Here is a 17,392-nt window from a genome sequence, read left to right as displayed (position 1 = left end):
GAATAGAGCACATGGGCCCACATGTCTCCTGCCTGAGTTACTATATTCCTTAAAGGATAAATTACACTAATCCTTGCCTCTTTTACACATAAGATAACATCTGACAGAGTTAGTGATTATACTTCTGCAAATGTACCTTATTTCTTTTTCTTTTTTCTTTTTTTTTTTTTCTTTAGATATTCTGTAGCCCAGGCTGGAGTGCAGTGGCGCGATTTCGGCTCACTGCAACCTCCGCCTCCCGGGTTCAAGCGATTCTCCTGCCTCAGCCTCTCGAGTACCTGGGATTACAGGTGCCTACCACTGTGCCTGGCTAATTTTTTTTGTAGTTTTAGTAGAGATGGGGTTTCCCCATCTTGGCCAAGCTGGTCTTAAACTCCTGACCTCGTGATCCACCAGCTTCGGCCTTCCAAAGTGCTGGGATTACAGGTGTGAGCCACCCCGACCAGCCAGTTAAAGTACATTTTAATAAAGAAATAAAGGCTGGGCGTGGTGGCTCACACCTGTAATCCTAGCACTTTGGGAGGCTGAGGCGGGTGGATCACAAGGTAAGGAGTTCCAGACCAGCCTGGCCAACATGGTGAAACCCCATCTCTACTAGCAATACAAAAATTAGCTGGGCATGGTGGCACATGCCTGTAGACCCAGCTACTCGGGAGGCTGAAGCAGAAGGATCCCTTGATGCCAGGAATTAGAGGCTGTAGTGCACTATGATTGCCCCTGTAAATGGCCACTGCACTCCAGCATGGGCAATGCAGGGAGGCCCCATCTGTATAAACAAAAGGAGAACAAAAGAAAGAAACCACAGTTCACTCAGTCAATCAATGGAAGACAGCAATACACACTTCTAGAGGTGGCATGAAGATTAAAAGAGATGATGGTACCCCAAAACTGGAAACAACCCAAATGTCCATCTACTGATGAGTAGATAAAATGTAGCATATTCATACAATAGAATAGTATTTGGTTATAAAAAGGAAATAAAGCTACAACGTGGATGAAACTTGGTAATATGCTAAATGAAAAAAGCCAGGCACAAAAGACTACATATTATACAGTTCCGTTTATAGGAACAATCCAGAATAGGCAAATAGACACAGAAAATAGATTAGTGGTTAACCAGGGGCTGAGGGGAGAGGAATGGGGGAGTGACTGCTAATTGGCATGGGTTTTCTTTTTCGGGTGATGGAAACATTCTGGAATTAGTGGTGACAGTTTCATACCCTTGTGAATATACAGTAAACAAAAACAAAAACAAACCCGGCCGGGCACGGTGGCTCACACCTGTAATCCCAGCACCTTGGGAGTCTGAGTCGGGTGGATCACCTGAGGTCGGGAGTTTGAGATCAGCCTGACCAACATGGAGAAACCCCATCTCTACTAAAAATACAAAATTAGGTGGGCATGGTGGTGCATACCTGTAATCCCAGCTACTTGGGAGGCTGAGGCAAGAGAATGGCTTTAACCTGGGAGGCGGAGGTTGCAGTGAGCCGAGATCACACCATTGCACTCCAGCCTGGGCAACAAGAGCGAAACTCCTTCTCCAAAGAAAAAAAAAAAAAAAGCAACACTGAATTGCATACTTTAAAAGTACAGTATGTGAATTATACCTCTATAAAGGTGTTATTAGAGAGAGATGATGACAGATGTAAAGCCCTTGCAATTTCTAGTCTGCAGTAAGAGCCAGGAAATGGAAGCTGTTATTTTTATCTGGCTAGGGGGTGATTGTTTGAATTACAAATGTGGTGCTCCACTTAACAAAAGCCTTCACATTAGGGTTCCTCTAACAGTCCAGTCCCTCAAACCATCTAAATATCTACAAATTCCAGAATTCTTTTTGCTTGTAGCATTTCAAAAGTTTATTGTGTAAAGAGAAAAAAATCAGACAATCCCGCCTCTGAAATTTTTAGACTGGTTTGGATTTTCCGATGATCTGAGTGGGTGTTTGTTGTCAGAACTCATGTACCCTGGGGAGGTGTCCCACAATAACTAGGAAATAAAGGTGAAGCCATTGCCCTCTGAGAGAAAGTTTTGAGCCAGTAGGGTAGATTCAGACAGTCGTCTGAAGGAAACAGAGTGGATCTCAGGCCTTGCTGCCCTGACCAAGGAATGTATTAGCATATCAAAGAAAGGAGTGTTTCCATTCTGAGAAGTAGTTATTCAAACACAGGCTGGAAACAAGGAGAAGCAGCAAGGGTGTTCTTCACACACCCCAGCTCAGCTAGAACTAAGGTAGGTGGAGCCTCTCACTACCTTGGGTAAGAAAGCCAGGTGGCCCGAGTTCAAATCCCTAGCCCTGTAATTTAGCAAATGGAACCACTCTGTGGGTTCAACTCCTCGTATGTTAAAAATGAAGTTAGCCGGCCAAGGTGGGTGGATAGCTTGAGCCCAGAAGTTTAAGACCAGCCTGGGCAACATAGTGAGACCTCTTCTCTACAAAAAATTCAAAAAATTAGCCAGGCATGGTGGCACATGCCTGTGGTCCCAGGTACTCCAGAGGCTGAGGCAGAAGGATTGCTTGAGCCTAGGAGTTGAGGGCTGCAGTGAGCTGTGATCACGCCATTGTACTCTAGCCTGGGTGACAAAGTGAGACCCTGTCTCAAAAAAAAAAAAAATGAAGCTAATAATAGTATAATAATGTTATTGTGAGGATTAAATCAGTTAACACATGTAACTAGCTTACAATGTACTCACTGCTCACAAGAATTTAGATATCTGGACCCCATGTTGACACAAGAATAATACAGGGCAGTGGCAGGAGAATAGAAGATTCTAGGCAGGCTGGGGACGGTGGTTCATGCCTGTAATCCCAGCACTTTGGGAGGCCGAGGAGGGTGGATAAACTGAGGTCAGGTGTTCGAGGCCAGCCTGGCCAACATAGCGAAACCTCGTCTCTACTAAAAATACAAAAATTAGCTGGGCATGGTGGCATGTGCCCGTAATCCCAGCTACTAGTGGGGCGAGGCAAGAGAATCACTTGAATCTGGGAGACGGAGGTTGCAGTGAGCCGAGATCATGCCAGTGCACTCTAGCCTGGGCAAAAGAGTAAGACTCAGTCTCAAAAAAAAAAAAAAGGAAAATTCTAGGCAGCAGATTCATATGACTAATAAAAGGCAACTTTTGAAATGGATGCATAAGCTAGGGGTTGATAAAACCCTGAAAAATCAGAGTATAGGCCAAGCTGGCTAAGTTCGACTGGACCCAATCTGGGGCTGAATTTGACCTAGGTTTCTCCTAGGACCTCATTATACGCTCATTAACATACCAAATCATACACCCACCAGCACCTGGACAGTCCCAGGAACACCCATATTTGGTGTAAAAATGGGCGGCAACAAGGCTGGGCGCGGTGGCTCATGCCTGTAATCCCAGCACTTTGGGAGGCCGAGGTGGGGGGATCACAAGGTCAGGAGATCGAGACCATCCTGTGAATGGTGAAACCCCGTCTCTACTAAAAATACAAAACATTAGCCGGGCGTGGTGGCAGGCGCCTGTAGTCCCAGCTACTCGGGAGGCTGAGGCAGGAGAATGGCGTGAACCCGGGAGGCGGAGCTTGCAGTGAGACGAGATCGCGCCACTACACTCCAGCCTGGGTGACAGAGCGAGACTCCGTCTCAAAAAAAAAAAAAAAAAAAATGGGCAGCAACAGTTCTGAGAAATCTTCACCTTTTTCCAGGAACCTTCATGAATATTCTGCCCCTTGGCTAAGGAAACCCATAAAGATAGAAACCCCAAACCCGATGGCATAGCTCTCTGTCTTGAGAACACCTGCACCTCCCTTTCTTGAGTGTGTACTCTGCACTTTGCAATAAATCTCAGTACTTTCACTATTTTTCTGCTAGTCCTTGAATTCCTTCTCATGACAGTGACAAAACCTGGACACCAGCAGGGGTCGAGTTCCCACTGGCTTTTGGGGACTTCACCACAGAAGATAAGAAATGACCTAGTGTATCTGGTCAATGAAAGGTCACCTTAGACAAGGGGACTCCTTCCAGAGACTCTGCAGTGCCACTGCAAATGGTGGGATAGGCTGTTTACTGCATAAGGAGGCAAGACTGGGCTAAATTCCAGCCCATACCCGGACCATTTGACCCAGAAGGAGCATCTTTTTAATTTTATTTTTTAAATTAATTTATTTATTTTTTAATTTTTAAGACAGAGTCTTGCTCTGTCACCCAGGCTGGAGTGCTGTGGCGTGATCTCTGCTCACTGCAACCTCCACCTCACAGATTCAAGCAATTCTCATGCCTTAGCCTCCCAAGTAGCTGGGATTACAAGTGTAAACCATCACATCTGGCTAATTTTTGTATTTTTAGTAGAGACGGGTTTTGCCATGTTGGCCAGGCTGGTCTTGAACTCCTGGGCTCAAGCGATCCTCTCGCCTCGGCCTCCCAAAGAGCTGGGATTGCAGTGGTGAGCCACCATGACTGGCTCGTCTATAATTTTTACTTAACAGTAATTATCTTCCATATAAATCAAGGGAGAGGAAGGGTTAGCTATGCATTAATTCTCAACATCCATTAATTCTCAACATCCTGTCCACCTAAAGAAAGAAACTAAGGCAAAATTAATACAGAGAATTTATTTGGGCAGAGTTTGAGGACTCCAGCCCAGGACACACTTCCAAGTTGACTGGGAGAGTGCTTTGTTTGGCCTTTGTTATTAAACAGGGTTTTAAAAGCAAGAAGTGGGCTGATGCAAAGTTGTTTGACAGGAATTCTCACTGGTTTACAGAGATGACATTGGTTAGCAACTGGCTATGTTAGTAGCGGTGAATCAGTGAATCTGTAGGGTTCTGCAGCAACCTCAATTCTTGCCTCATCAGAAGAAAGAATTTGACCCAGGGGCATAAGGCAAAGTGAGAGACTGAGGCAAGTTTTAGAGCAGGAGTGAAAGTTTATTAAAAAGCTTTAGAGTGGGAATGAAAGGAAGGAAAGTCCACTTGGAAGAGGGCCAAGTGGGTGACTTGAGAGATCAAATGTGTAGTTTGACCTTTGACTTGAGGTTTTATATGTTGGCATTTTTCTGGGGTCTTGCATTACTTCTCTCCTGATTCTTCTTCCCTTGGAGTGGGCTGTCCGCATGTACAGTGGCCTGCCAGCATTTCAGAGGGGCTGCGTGCGCAGCGTGTTTACGGGAGTTATATGCATGCTCACTTGAGGCATTCTTCCCTTAGTCAAATACTCTTAGAAGGTCATATACCAGTTAAACTCTGCCATTTTGCCTCTTAGTGTGAATGTCTGAGCCCACTCACCCAACTTGGAAGGCTGTTCATCACTAGTATCTGGTTTTTCTAACTACTGGGAGACTGCCTTTCCCTGGCACTAGGTGTGACAAGTGGCGTGATCTTGGCTCACTGCAGCTTTGACCACCTGGGCTTAAGCCATCTTCCCACCTTAACTTCCTGATTAGCTGGAACTACAGGTGTGCACCACCACACCCAGCTAATTTTTGTATTTTTTGTAGAGACGTACTTTTGTCATATTGCCCAGGCTGGTCTCAAACTCCTGGACACAAGGGATCTACCTGCCTTGGCCTCCCAAAGTGCTGGGATACAGGCATGAGCCACCATGCCCAACCAAGTGATTGGTTAACATCAGTTTACCTCAGTTTACTTTTTTGTTAAGGATTAAAGCAGAGAGAACTTCATTATCATGCCAATTGAAACTGGCCTGTTCAGGAAGTTAGGCTGTTATCTCTCTCTTGATTTATGGGAAGGTCAGATAACAAATTAGTTTTGGTTTGGTGGCATGGAAACCTCAGCCTGAGTGATTCCATTTTGATTTTTAGTCTGGTCTGCTGGGGCCTAGTACAGAAGCTTAGACCAAAAGAATGGCTATGTATATATATAGTTTACCATATGATCGAGCCACTGCAGTCTAGTCTTCTCATGTGTGCCTGACTAGCTACTATAACAGCTAGACATCGTTGAGCTATAGGGTATGGGATATGGCATCCAGCATATGGCATTTGGTGACTACTTGGCATCAGTTGATCTAGAGACTATGTAGCAAGTGGCTTCAAGAGGTAATTGTGGCTGGGTGTGGTGGCTCACACTTGCAATCCCAGCACTTTGGGAGGACGAGGCAAGAGGATCGCTTGAGCTCAGGAATTTGAGACCAGCCTGGCCAACATGGCAAAACACATCTCTACTAAAAATACAAAAATTAGCCAGGTGTGGTGGTGCACACCTGCAATCCCAGCTACTTGGGAGGCTGAGGCACGAGAATCACTTCAATCTGGGAGGCGGAGGTTGCGGTGAGCGGAAATAATGCCACTGTGCCCCAGCCTGGGTGACAGAGCAAGATTCTGTCTCAAAAATTTTTTAAAATTAAAAAATTAAAATGGATCACGAGGTCAGGAGATCGAGACCATCCTAGCTAACACAGTGAAATCCCATCTCTACTAAAAATAGAAAAAATTAGCCAGACGTGGTGGCGGGCACCTGTAGTCCCAGCTACTCGGGAGGCTGAGGCAGGAGAATGGCGTGAACCTGGTAGGCGGAGCTTGCAGTGAGCCGAGATCGCGCCACTGGCCTCCAGCCTGGGCGACAGAGCAAGACTCCGTCTCAAAAAAAAAAAAATTTAAAAAGATGCACCTTCTGGGCCAAATGGTCACAGTATGGGCTGGATTTTAGCCCAGTCTTGCCTCCAGTCTTGCACTCTAGCCTGAGCAACAGAGCAAAACTCTGTCTCTCTAAAAAAATAAAATAAAAAGTAGAAGTCTAAAAATTGTTTTTAAATTAAAAAAAAAACAGGAAAAGGAAATTTAAAAAACAATCACTTATTTCTCTATAGTTCTGTTTCCTTGTGCCTGCCTTGCAGAGGAGAACTTTGAAATGACCAATCCGCCAGGCGCGGTGGCTCACACCTGTAATCCCAGCACTTTGGAAGTCCGAGGTGGGTGGATCACGAGGTCAGGAGACTCTGCTCGGCTCATTGGAACACTTATTCTATTTTATGGAATGAAGTGTTTAATTTATTTAGGATATTTAAAGATATTTAAATTTAAGATATTTAAACTCTTAGGTTGGGTGCAGTGACTCATGCCTGTAAACCCAGCACTTTGGGAGGCCAAAGCAGGCGGATCACCTGAGGTCAGGCATTTGAGACCAGCCTGGCCAACATGGCAAAACCCCATCTCTACTGAAAATATAAAAAAATTAGCCGGGCATGGTGGTGTGCGCCTGTAATCCTAGCTACTCAGGAGGCTGAGGCAAGAGAATCACTTGAACCCGGGAGGCGGAGGTTACAGTGAGCTGAGATGGTGCCACTGCACTCCAGCCTGGGTGACAGAGCAGGACTCTGTCTCAAAAAAAAAAAAATTATTACAGATATTGTTTAATATTATATTTATATTATGTAAATAATATATTTAACATTTAAACACAATATATGTATATAATAATATTTATTATATTTCAAGCGCTCGATAGCTACATATATATACATATATGCATACAATAGAACATTCTGCTAAGTGAAATGAGCCAGTCACAAAAGGACAAATACTGTATTAATCCATTTATAAGAGGTTCCTAGCATTGTCAAACTTATAGAGACAGAAAGTAGAATGGTGGTTGCCAGGAGCAAGGCGGGTGATGGGGGAGTAGGGAAGAAAGGAATCAGGGGTTGTTTAATATGTAGACAGTTTCTGTTCTGTAAGATGAAAATGTTCTGGAGTTTAATCCCACAACTATATGAATGCAGTTAATGTTACTGAACTGTACACTTAAAAATGGTCAGGATGATAACTTTTATATTATATTTTACTACAATTAAAAATAAAACATTGTTAAAACAAAAAAAATCTATTTTACTTTTTCTCTTTACTTTTAAAAATGTGCCCAACAGGAAAATTTATTACTACTCATGTGGTATGCATTATATTTCTGTTGATGCTACTCTAGAAAACAGAATTTTGATATCCAAGGGTTTTTTAACAAAGTAACTTGATCATGAGAAATAAAAATAAAATCCTAAACCTCCCAGCCAACTGAATGGGCCCCCTCTTGGCCAACCGGATCCCAGAAAATCTTTAAATGCTGAGCTCCCAGTCATGTTGGGACAGGAGGTCAGACACACCTCAGGAGGCCCCTTCCTTACTAACCTCAGCCAGAATTCTTTCCTAAGGAATAAGCAGAGAGCAGCTCTAGAAAACAAGAAACAGATGAGGCGTGGTGGCTCACACCTGTAATCTCAGCACTTTGGGAGGCTTAGCTGGGAGGATTGCTTGAGCTCAGGAGTTCATGACCAGCCTGGGCAACATAGTGAGATCCTGTCTCTACAGAAAAATTTTAAAAATAACATTAATACAGAAAAAAAGGAAACAAGAAACAAAGAATTCATTCCTTTATCACCTCTAGTCAATCACCTGAGGCCGTGACCAGACTCCCCGTCTCTTTTGCAGTTTCCACACAGCAACTGACCAGCACTCCTTCCTGTTAAGAGGTCACCAACCATAGAGCAGTTCTGGGCAGGGTATAGAGGCTGCAGTGAGGGACAGTGAGCTCTGTGTCCTCTGCTTCACCTTTTGACATCAGAGGGCTGAAAACACCTCCCTCAGATCATGCTAATGTCGCAGTTTTTGGAACATGCAACCCATGAAGAGGCATGAAGTTCAATTGTACATGTGCATGTTTCTTGTTTCATAAATATTCATGAGTCCTTCTATAGCTTACTGCGTATGTATACTCAGCCAACCAGCTCAGCATAAATTTCTGTTTTACACTTCCCATTCTTTTTTTTTTTGAAGACAGAGTCACGGTCTGTCACCAGGCTGGCATGCAATGGTATGATCTCAGCTCACTGCAACCTCTGCCTCCTGGATTCAAGCGATTCTCCTGCCTCAGCCTCTTGAGTAGCTGGGACTACAGGCATGCACCACTATGCCCAGCTAATTTTTGTATTTTTTAATAGAGACAGCGTTTCACCATGTTGGCCAGGAGGGTCTCGATCTCTTGACCCCGTGATCCACCCGCCTCAGCCTCCCAAAGTGCTGGGATTACAGGCGTGAGCCACTGCACCGGCCTCTACACTTCCCATTCTTGAAGCTCCTGTTCCCCATCTTCTGTCACAGGCTATGCTTCCCAACCTGTCAGAATGGCCACCTTGTGGATCACCTGAGGTTAGGAGTTCGAGACCAGCCTGGCCAACATGGTGAAACTTCGTCTCTACTAAAAATACAAAAATTAGCCAGGCGTGGTGGCGGGTGCCTGTAATCCCAGCTACTGGGGAGGCTGAGGCAGGAGAATCGCTTGAACCTGGGAGGCACAGGTTGCAGTGAGCTGAGATCGCCCCATTGCCCCACTGCACTCCAGCCTGGGCAACAAGCACGAAACTCCGTCACAAAAAGAAAAAAAAAGAATGGCCCAACTTGCAGGCTGCAACCCTTTATGAGAAATAGAACCCTGCCTTCGAAATTTGTGACCCTCATCACTCTTCAGGTGACAATATAGACTGAAGAATGAGGAAGAGGTAACTAACCAAGCTTGAGGTGTCCACATTGGGGTAGGGTTTGAGGTTAGGAGGGTTGGAGAGCTTTTGAGGCAGAAAGAACAACTTGAGTAAAAGCCCTGAGGCAAAAGAGAGAATGGAGTGTTCCAGAAAGAGCAGTGAAGCTGGAGTGCACAGACAGAGGGGAAGAAGGCCCTGAGGTGAGGCCGGAGAAGTAGGCAGGGGCCAGCTCAGTGGGGCCTGGAGGCCTTGCTAAGGACTTTGGCCTTTATCTCAAAGCAATGGGGGCCAGGTGCAGTGGCTCACACTGCTAATCACAACACTTTGGGAGGCTGAGGTGGGCAGATACCTGAAGTCAGGAGGTGAGACCAGCCTGGCCAATATGATGAAATATGTCTCTACTAAAAATACAAAAATTAGCTGGGTATGGTGGCAGGCGCCTGTAATCCCAGCTGCTTAGGAAGCCAAGGCAGGAGAATTGCTTGAACCCGAGAGGTGGAGGTTGCAGTGAGCCAAGATAGTGCCACGCACTCCAGACTGGGCAACAGAGTGAGGCTCCATCATAAACAAATAAATAAATAAAGTAAATAAATCAAGCAAGCAAGCAAGCAATGGGAGGGCAGCAGGAGAATGGCAGGAATGCCTTTTAAGAGATTGCTCTTTCTGGCATCTCCGATGCAGGGAGCCAGAGCCTATGTGTGTGTGCCCCTTTTTGTTTAATTTTCACACTTTTTTCATGAGATTAACAACGTTGAACTTTACCTAAGCCCTATGCTCCTGGAAAACGGCAAGAGTTAAGACATCTCCCAACCTTTTGTTTTTCACACTCCCCTCATCCTTTTGTGTTCCTGGAAATTGCTTACCTGTAAGAACCACTGGCTCCTCCCATTAATTAATTAATTAATTATTTCTTTTTCTTCTATGTTTGTTTTTTGTTTTTGTTTTTGTTTTGAGACAGGGTCTCACTTTGTTGCCCAGGCTGGAGTGCAGTGGTGCATTCATAGCTCACTGTAGGCTCTACCTCCCAGGATCAAGTAATCCTCCCACCTCTGCCCCCAAGTAGCTGGGACACCTGGCTAACTTTTTAATTTTTTGTAGAGATGGAGGTCTCTCTTTTTTTTTTTTTTTTTTTTTGAGATGGAGTTTCACTCTTGTCACCCAGCCTGGAGTGCAGTGGAGCGATCTCGGCTGGCTGCAACCTGCAACCTCTGCTTCCTGGGTTGAAGCGATTCTCCTGCCTCAGCCTTCTGAATAGCTGGGATTACAGGTGTGTGCCACCATGCCCAGCTAATTTTTGTATTTTTAGTAGAGATGTGGTTTCACCATGCTGGCCAAGCTGGTCTCAAACTCCTGACCTCAGGTGATTTGCCCACCTTGGAACTACCAAAGTGCTGGGATTACAGGTGTGAGCCACTGCTCCAGGCTCCACTAATTTAGATAAGACTCCCTTCTATAGGATTCACAGATGACTTCCAGGTATTTGTGACAAGGTCAAATGCAGACCCTTCAACTTCGAGTTCCTTTTTTCATGAGCAATTAAGATTAGAATTGCCTGTCCCCCTGAAACTAGAGACAAAAGTAAACATTTTCTGTTCAGCTGGTAGAGACTTCCCCTGATTGCAAAACCATTCTAACTGTTCCTTATGCAACTGTGACTTGCCCATTCCTAACTATAAAGGTCTAAGGCAAAGCTACTTTGCCAGAATACTTTGATCTTCACATCTAGATGGCTCTCCCTATTGCAATAGCCTTAATAAAATCTTATCCTTAATTTTCCTATGCATTTTGTCTCTTTTTTTTTTTTTTGAGGCAGTCTCTCTCTGTCACCCAGGCTGGAGTGCAGTGGAGCAATCTTGGCTCGCTGCAACCTCTGCTTCCCAGGTTCAAACAATTCTCCTGCCTCAGCCTCCCGAGTAGCTGGGATTGCAAGTGCCCGCCACCATGCCCACCTAATTTTTATATTTTTAGTAGAGACGGGGTTTCACCATGTTGATCAGGCTGGTCTCGATCTCTTGACTTCGTGATTTGCCCACCTCGGCCTCCCAAAGTGCTGGGGTTACAGGCATGAGCCACCGCATCTGGCCCTCATAAGTCTATTTTTAAAAATTTATCCTTTACTTGGTCACTTCCCCCCTTCAAATATCACAGGTTTTCTTTTAATTTTTTTCTCAAAGTATAAACAGTATGAAATATAAACAAGCTTTTGCATTGCACATGTAGAGGTGTGTGCAATTCAAGCATCATGGAACTATCTACACACCAAAAAAAAAAAAAACCCATCAAATCTTAAACAATTCCTTAAAAATATCAAGGCTCAGAAAGAACTAAAACCCACTTTTTTTTTGTTACACATAAAATTCAAATATTCTGTCTGAAGAAATACACTTAATCATTTTCGCTGTCTTCTACATCTGCATGGTGGTATACTTACAAAAATACGCCTGTATGATCATGTTTAATCTTACTGTTTCCAGCCAGTTTTTTTTGTTTGTTTTTTTTCTTGAGACGGAGTCTCACTCATTGCCCAGGCTGGAGTGCAGTGGCATGATCTCGGCTCACCGCAACCTCTGTCTCCCAGGTTCAAGCAATTCTCCTGCCTCAGCCTCCAGAGTAGCTGGGATTACAGGTGTGCGCCATCACGCCTGGCTAATTTTTGTATTTTTAGTAGAGATGAGGTTTCGCCATGTTGGCCAGGTCTCGAACTCCTGACCTCAGGTGATACACCTGCCTCAGCCTCCCAAAGTGCTGGGATTACAGGCCTGAGCCACTGCACCCAGCCTCCAGCCAGGTATAAAACCTCAAAACCAGCCATCCAGAAAAAACAGGTAATCAGAAAGCTGATCTCTTCCCCACCTCTCTAACCCCAATAACTATGAGGTCAGTTTTATGACAGGACTCCAAACACTGGATTGTGATGAGAAATGCTAGGTCCAGTTTCTTCATAATCCTTTTTGGCATGGCGTACTCATAGACGCCAGCATGTATCCTCCAAATCAGACTGTATTGCTACATGTGTTGTGTAGTGATTTGTGTATCAATAGGTTTTGGCCTCAATCTACTGCTACTCAATTCCTCACTTAATTCCTGGCATCTTAGAGTTCAAATCTCTCATAAGCAATATTCAAAGTACCTGAACATAGTTGAACCACCAGAGAGGACAATATTCTTGCAGGGAAGATGTCTGACATTCACAGGACAATCCTGAATTACTTCATCTACAACTTCCGGGGTAGGTTGTGTGAAGTCTGGATTAGCAAACTCTGGATTTAAAAAAAAAAAAAAAGATCTCAGGTCCCAAGAATCTCTCATACTAAACATCAATGAAAAGGTCCTTGTTTGAAATGGCATCAGGCCGGGCACGGAGGCTCACTCCTGTAATCCCAGCACTTTGGGAGGCCGAGGCAGATCACGAGGTCAGGAGTTCAAGACCAGCCTGGCCAATATGGTGAAACCCCATCTCTACTAAAAATATAAAAATTAGCCAGGCATGGTGGTGCACACCTGTAGTCCCAGCTACTCGGGAGGCTGAGGCTAAAGAATCAATCGCTTGAACCCAGGAGGCAGAGGTTGCAGTGAGCCGAGATCACGCCACTGCACTCCAGCCTGGGTGACAGAGCAAGACTCCATCTCAAAAAAAAAATAATAATAATAAATAATAAATAAAAAACAAAAGGTTCAGAGAGCTTCCAAGTTGGTGAAGTTGGTGAAACGTTGTAGCCACGTTGGACAGAGGAGTGAGTAACTTGGGAACTCACTACTTTCAACTGATATCTGAAGTAGGGGACAGTCTGCTGGGACTGAGACCTTAACCTGTGGTTAAGGTCTGACTCTAGGTGGATAGCGTCATAACTGTATTGTAAGACACCCAGATGGTGGCCAGAGAGCTGTTAAATTGTTTAAAGTGAAGGAAAACCCCACACACATTTGGTGTCAGAAGTAAAAAATGATGTGAGCAGAGTTTTTTTTCTTCTTTTACTATAAGAAGTGTGAAAGTTAGGTCGGGCACGGTGGCTCACACCTCTAATCCCAGCACTTTTGGAGGCTGAGGCGGGCAGATCGCCTGAGATCGGGAGTTTGACCAGCCTGGCCAGCATAGCGAAACCTCGATTCTACTAAAAATACAAAATTTAGCCGGGTGTGGTGGCAGGCGCTTGTAATCCCAGCTACTTGGGAAGCTGAGGCAGGAGAATCGCTTGAACCTGGGGGGCAGAGGTTGCAGTGAGCCAAGATCGTGCTATTGCACTCCAGCCTGGGCAACGGAGCGAGACTCCATCTCAAAACAAAAAGAAGTGTGAAAGTTTTCAGAATCCAAATGGAGTTACTTGTGTCAAACCCAAACATATGGCTGGGGAAGGCCATGAAGGGAGAGTTCTCATCACGCATGTATGCAGCTTTGAATGTGGCCCAACACAAATTCGTGAACTTTCTTAAAACATTGCAAGATTTTTTTGCAATTTTTTTTTTACCTTATCAGCTATTGTTAGTGTTAGTGTATTTCATGTGTGGCCCAAGACAATTCTTCTTCTTCCGATGTGGCCCAGGGAAGAGAAAAAGATTGGACACCCCTGACTTAGAGTTAGAAGTGAGACCTACGTCAAGATCACCTTGAGTAATGTAATCTTGGCTCACTGCAACTGCTGCCTCTTGGGCTCAAGCCATCCTCCCTATTCAGTCTGCCAAGTAGCTAGGACTACAGGTGTATACCGCCACAACTGGCTAATTTTTGTATTTTTTTGTAGAGACAGGGTTTCTCTATGTTTCCACAGGGCTCAAGTGATCCACCCACCTCAACCTCCCAAAGTGCTGGGATTACAAGCATGAGCCACCATGCCCAGCCTCTGGTGAGTCTTCTCTCAGGCTGAACCTCCCTCTTTTTTTGTAGAAGCTCTTTGACTTTATTTGGGGTCTGGTCTGGTAATAAGGCCTTTTTTTTTTTTTTTTTTGAGATGGACTTTCATTCTTGTTCCCCAGGCTGAAGTGCAATGGCACGATCTCAGCTTACTGCAACCTGTACCTCCCAGGCTCAAGCGATTTTCCTGCCTCAGCCAACCAAGTAGCTGGCATTACAGGCATGCGCCACCATTCCTGGTTAATTTTGTATTTTTAGTAGAGATGGGGTTTCACCATGTTTGTCAGACTGGTCTCGAACTCCTGACCTCAAGGGATCCACCCGCCTCAGCCTCCCAAAGTACTGGGATTATAGGCATGAGCCACTGCGCCCGGCCAAGACCTCCTTAATAAATGACCTTGCATCCTTCTTGGGACTATAAAAGGCTTTTGTCTTTTCTGGCAAGCACGTCCTATGAGGATAGCATCATCACAGAGCAAAGTCTGGTTTGTACAGAATTTATGTTCTCTCTGTGAGGCACCCCTTTTCCGGTGAATTCTCTTTTGTTTTTTTCTGCATGCCTGATATAATATTTCCTGTGGTCCACACACCTGGCTTAAAATTTTTGAGGCTGTCTTACTTTGATATCATTTTGGATTGGTTACGTGTATCTGCAAATGATTTGGGGGTTCTTTTATTTTTCCCTGCTTGTTTCTGAACATTTTCTGAGGGCAAAAAATAAACATTCTAAGTGGTGGGCACAGGTGGGCCAATGAAAAGCCACTAGGGGCTGGGCGTGGTGACTCAGGCCTGTAATCCCAGCGCTTTGCGAGGCCGAGGCGGGCAGATCACCTGATCAGGAGTTCAAGACCAGCCTGGCCAACATGGCAAAACCCCATCTCTACTAAAAATACGATATTAGCCAGGTGTGGTGGTGCATGCCTGTAATCCCAGCTACTCGGGAGGCTGAGACAGGAGAATCGTTTGAACCCAGGAAATGAAGGTTGCAGTGAGCCGAGATCGTGCCGTTGCACTTCAGCCTGGGCAACATGAGCGAAACTCCGTCTCAAAATAATAAAAAATAAAAGCCACTAGGGTAGTTGCCACCATCTATGAGGGACTCTTGTCCCTGAAGAAAAAGTCTCCCATGTTAAGATAAACAGGTATGATTATTACTGGGGTGCCTGCCAGTCTCAAGAAAATTGCCATGTGACTAGGAAAAACTTGGTCACAGGTTGGACAACTTCGGATAAAGGCCATCTGCCAGGTATAAAAAAAGTATTCTGTGCCAGGTACACTGTAAAAAAAAAAAAACACGGGTCCAAGCCCCTGACATTCCCAGCAGGGCTTATAGGGGTTTCTTCTGCTCTCAAAAGATTAATAAAAAATTGGACAGGATTCTCAAAATTCTAGGCATGCCAGACTTTCTGGGATGGCATTCCAGCTGGAAAGATATTCAAAATTGATGGCCTAATCTCATGCACATTTTTAAACTGATGGGCAATCTATACCAAGGATAATTTATGGCCATTATGGGAATTATTTGAATTTTCTAAACTTGTTTTTCTCAGAAAACCTCAACTACAGAGTTAAGCAGTCTAAACGTTGGATGCATGAAGAGGCTTCTGATCGCTCTATGTACTTTTGTTGTTGTTGTTTATTCTGAATCTGCTAATTTTTTCACTTGTATTAAGATAAATCTTTTTTTTTTTTTTTTTTTGAGACGGAGTCTCGCTCTGTCGCCCAGGCTGGAGCGCAGTGGCGCAATCTCGGCTCACTGCAAGCTCCGCCTCCCGGGTCCACGCCATTCTCCCGCCTCAGCCTCCCGAGTAGCTGGGACTACAGGCGCCCGCCACCACGCCCGGCTAATTTTTTGTATTTTTAGTAGAGACGGGGTTTCACCATTCACAGGATGGTCTTGATCTCCTGACCTTGTGATCCGTCTGCCTCTGCCTCCCAAAGTGCTGGGATTACAGGCGTGAGCCACCGCGCCCAGCCAAGATAAATCTTTCACTAAAGGCTGCTTGGAGCTTTTCATTTTTCCTCCAACCCCTAAATGAAATATAAACATCCAAGAGTTCACTAGAACAACTCATTTGAAACTGAAAAAAGGGGGGGAGAAGGTTAAAAAAAAAAAGCCTTTTTAAAACCAAAGTGCTATGGAAACTGCCCAAAATTTGGTTCACAGCCTTCATAATATTACATCTCAGGACAAATAAAAATTTTCAAGTTTAGCCATATGAACATGACCCTAACTTGTCCCATTTTGTTAGGGATATAATTTGGATCCAACTGTATTTTTATAAGCTGACAAGTTTATTACTGTTTTACTGTGTGATGATTAGAATTTTAAAGTAAAAACTATAATTTTTTTGTTTTTCTTCATCTATATGTTTTTACGTTTTTGTGTCTACATATTTTATGTATATTATTTTAAATTTACAGAGATCTCTAATTGGCTTGAAGGAAAATAATTAAGTGCTTAAAAAGTAATTTATTAGAAATATAGTAATTAACACAAATGCTTTTAAGTTCACATGAACATAAATCTATACTTTTTTTTTTTTTCTGATATGGAGTCTTGCTCTGTCACCCAGGCTGGAGTGCAGTGGCACAATCTTTGCTCACCACAACCTCCGTCTCCTGGGTTCAAGTGATTCTCCTGCCTCAGCCTCCCGAGTAGCTGGGATTACAGGCATGCGCCACCACTCCTGGCTTATTTTTTGTATTTTTAGTAGAGACAGGGTTTCACCATGTTGGCCAAGCTGGTCTCGAACTCCTGATCTCGTGATCCGCCTGCTTCAGCCTCCCAAAGTGCTGAGATTACAGGCGTGAGCCACCACGCCTGGTGGGTAAATCTTTTGTAAGTAAACTAATCTTAAAATTGTTGGTAAAATAGGCTGGACATGGTGGCTCACACCTGTAATCCCAGCACTATGGGAGGCCGAGGTGGGCAGATCACTTGAGGTCAGGAGTTTGAGACCAGCCTGGTCAACATAGTGAAACCCCAACTCTACTAAAAATACAAAAATTAGCTGGGCATGGTGGCACACACCTGTGATCCCAGCTACTCAGGTGGCTGAGGCAGGAGAATCACTTGAACCTGGGAGGT

The 17,392-nt window shown here is 44.5% G+C and overlaps 1 annotated feature.

Moving 5' to 3' along the window:
- Positions 1,992-2,496: an enhancer, noted in NCBI's record as "OCT4-NANOG-H3K27ac hESC enhancer chr9:117345492-117345996 (GRCh37/hg19 assembly coordinates)". NCBI's record gives its function as "activates a minimal SCP1, AML or CMV promoter by ChIP-STARR-seq in primed H9 embryonic stem cells {active_cell/tissue: H9 hESC(primed)}" and the evidence as "EXISTENCE:reporter gene assay evidence [ECO:0000049][PMID:30033119]".

This window comes from Homo sapiens, chromosome 9, assembly GCF_000001405.40.
Source record: "Homo sapiens chromosome 9, GRCh38.p14 Primary Assembly".
NCBI lineage: Eukaryota > Metazoa > Chordata > Mammalia > Primates > Hominidae > Homo > Homo sapiens.
This window is presented reverse-complemented; position numbering and strand designations above follow the sequence as displayed.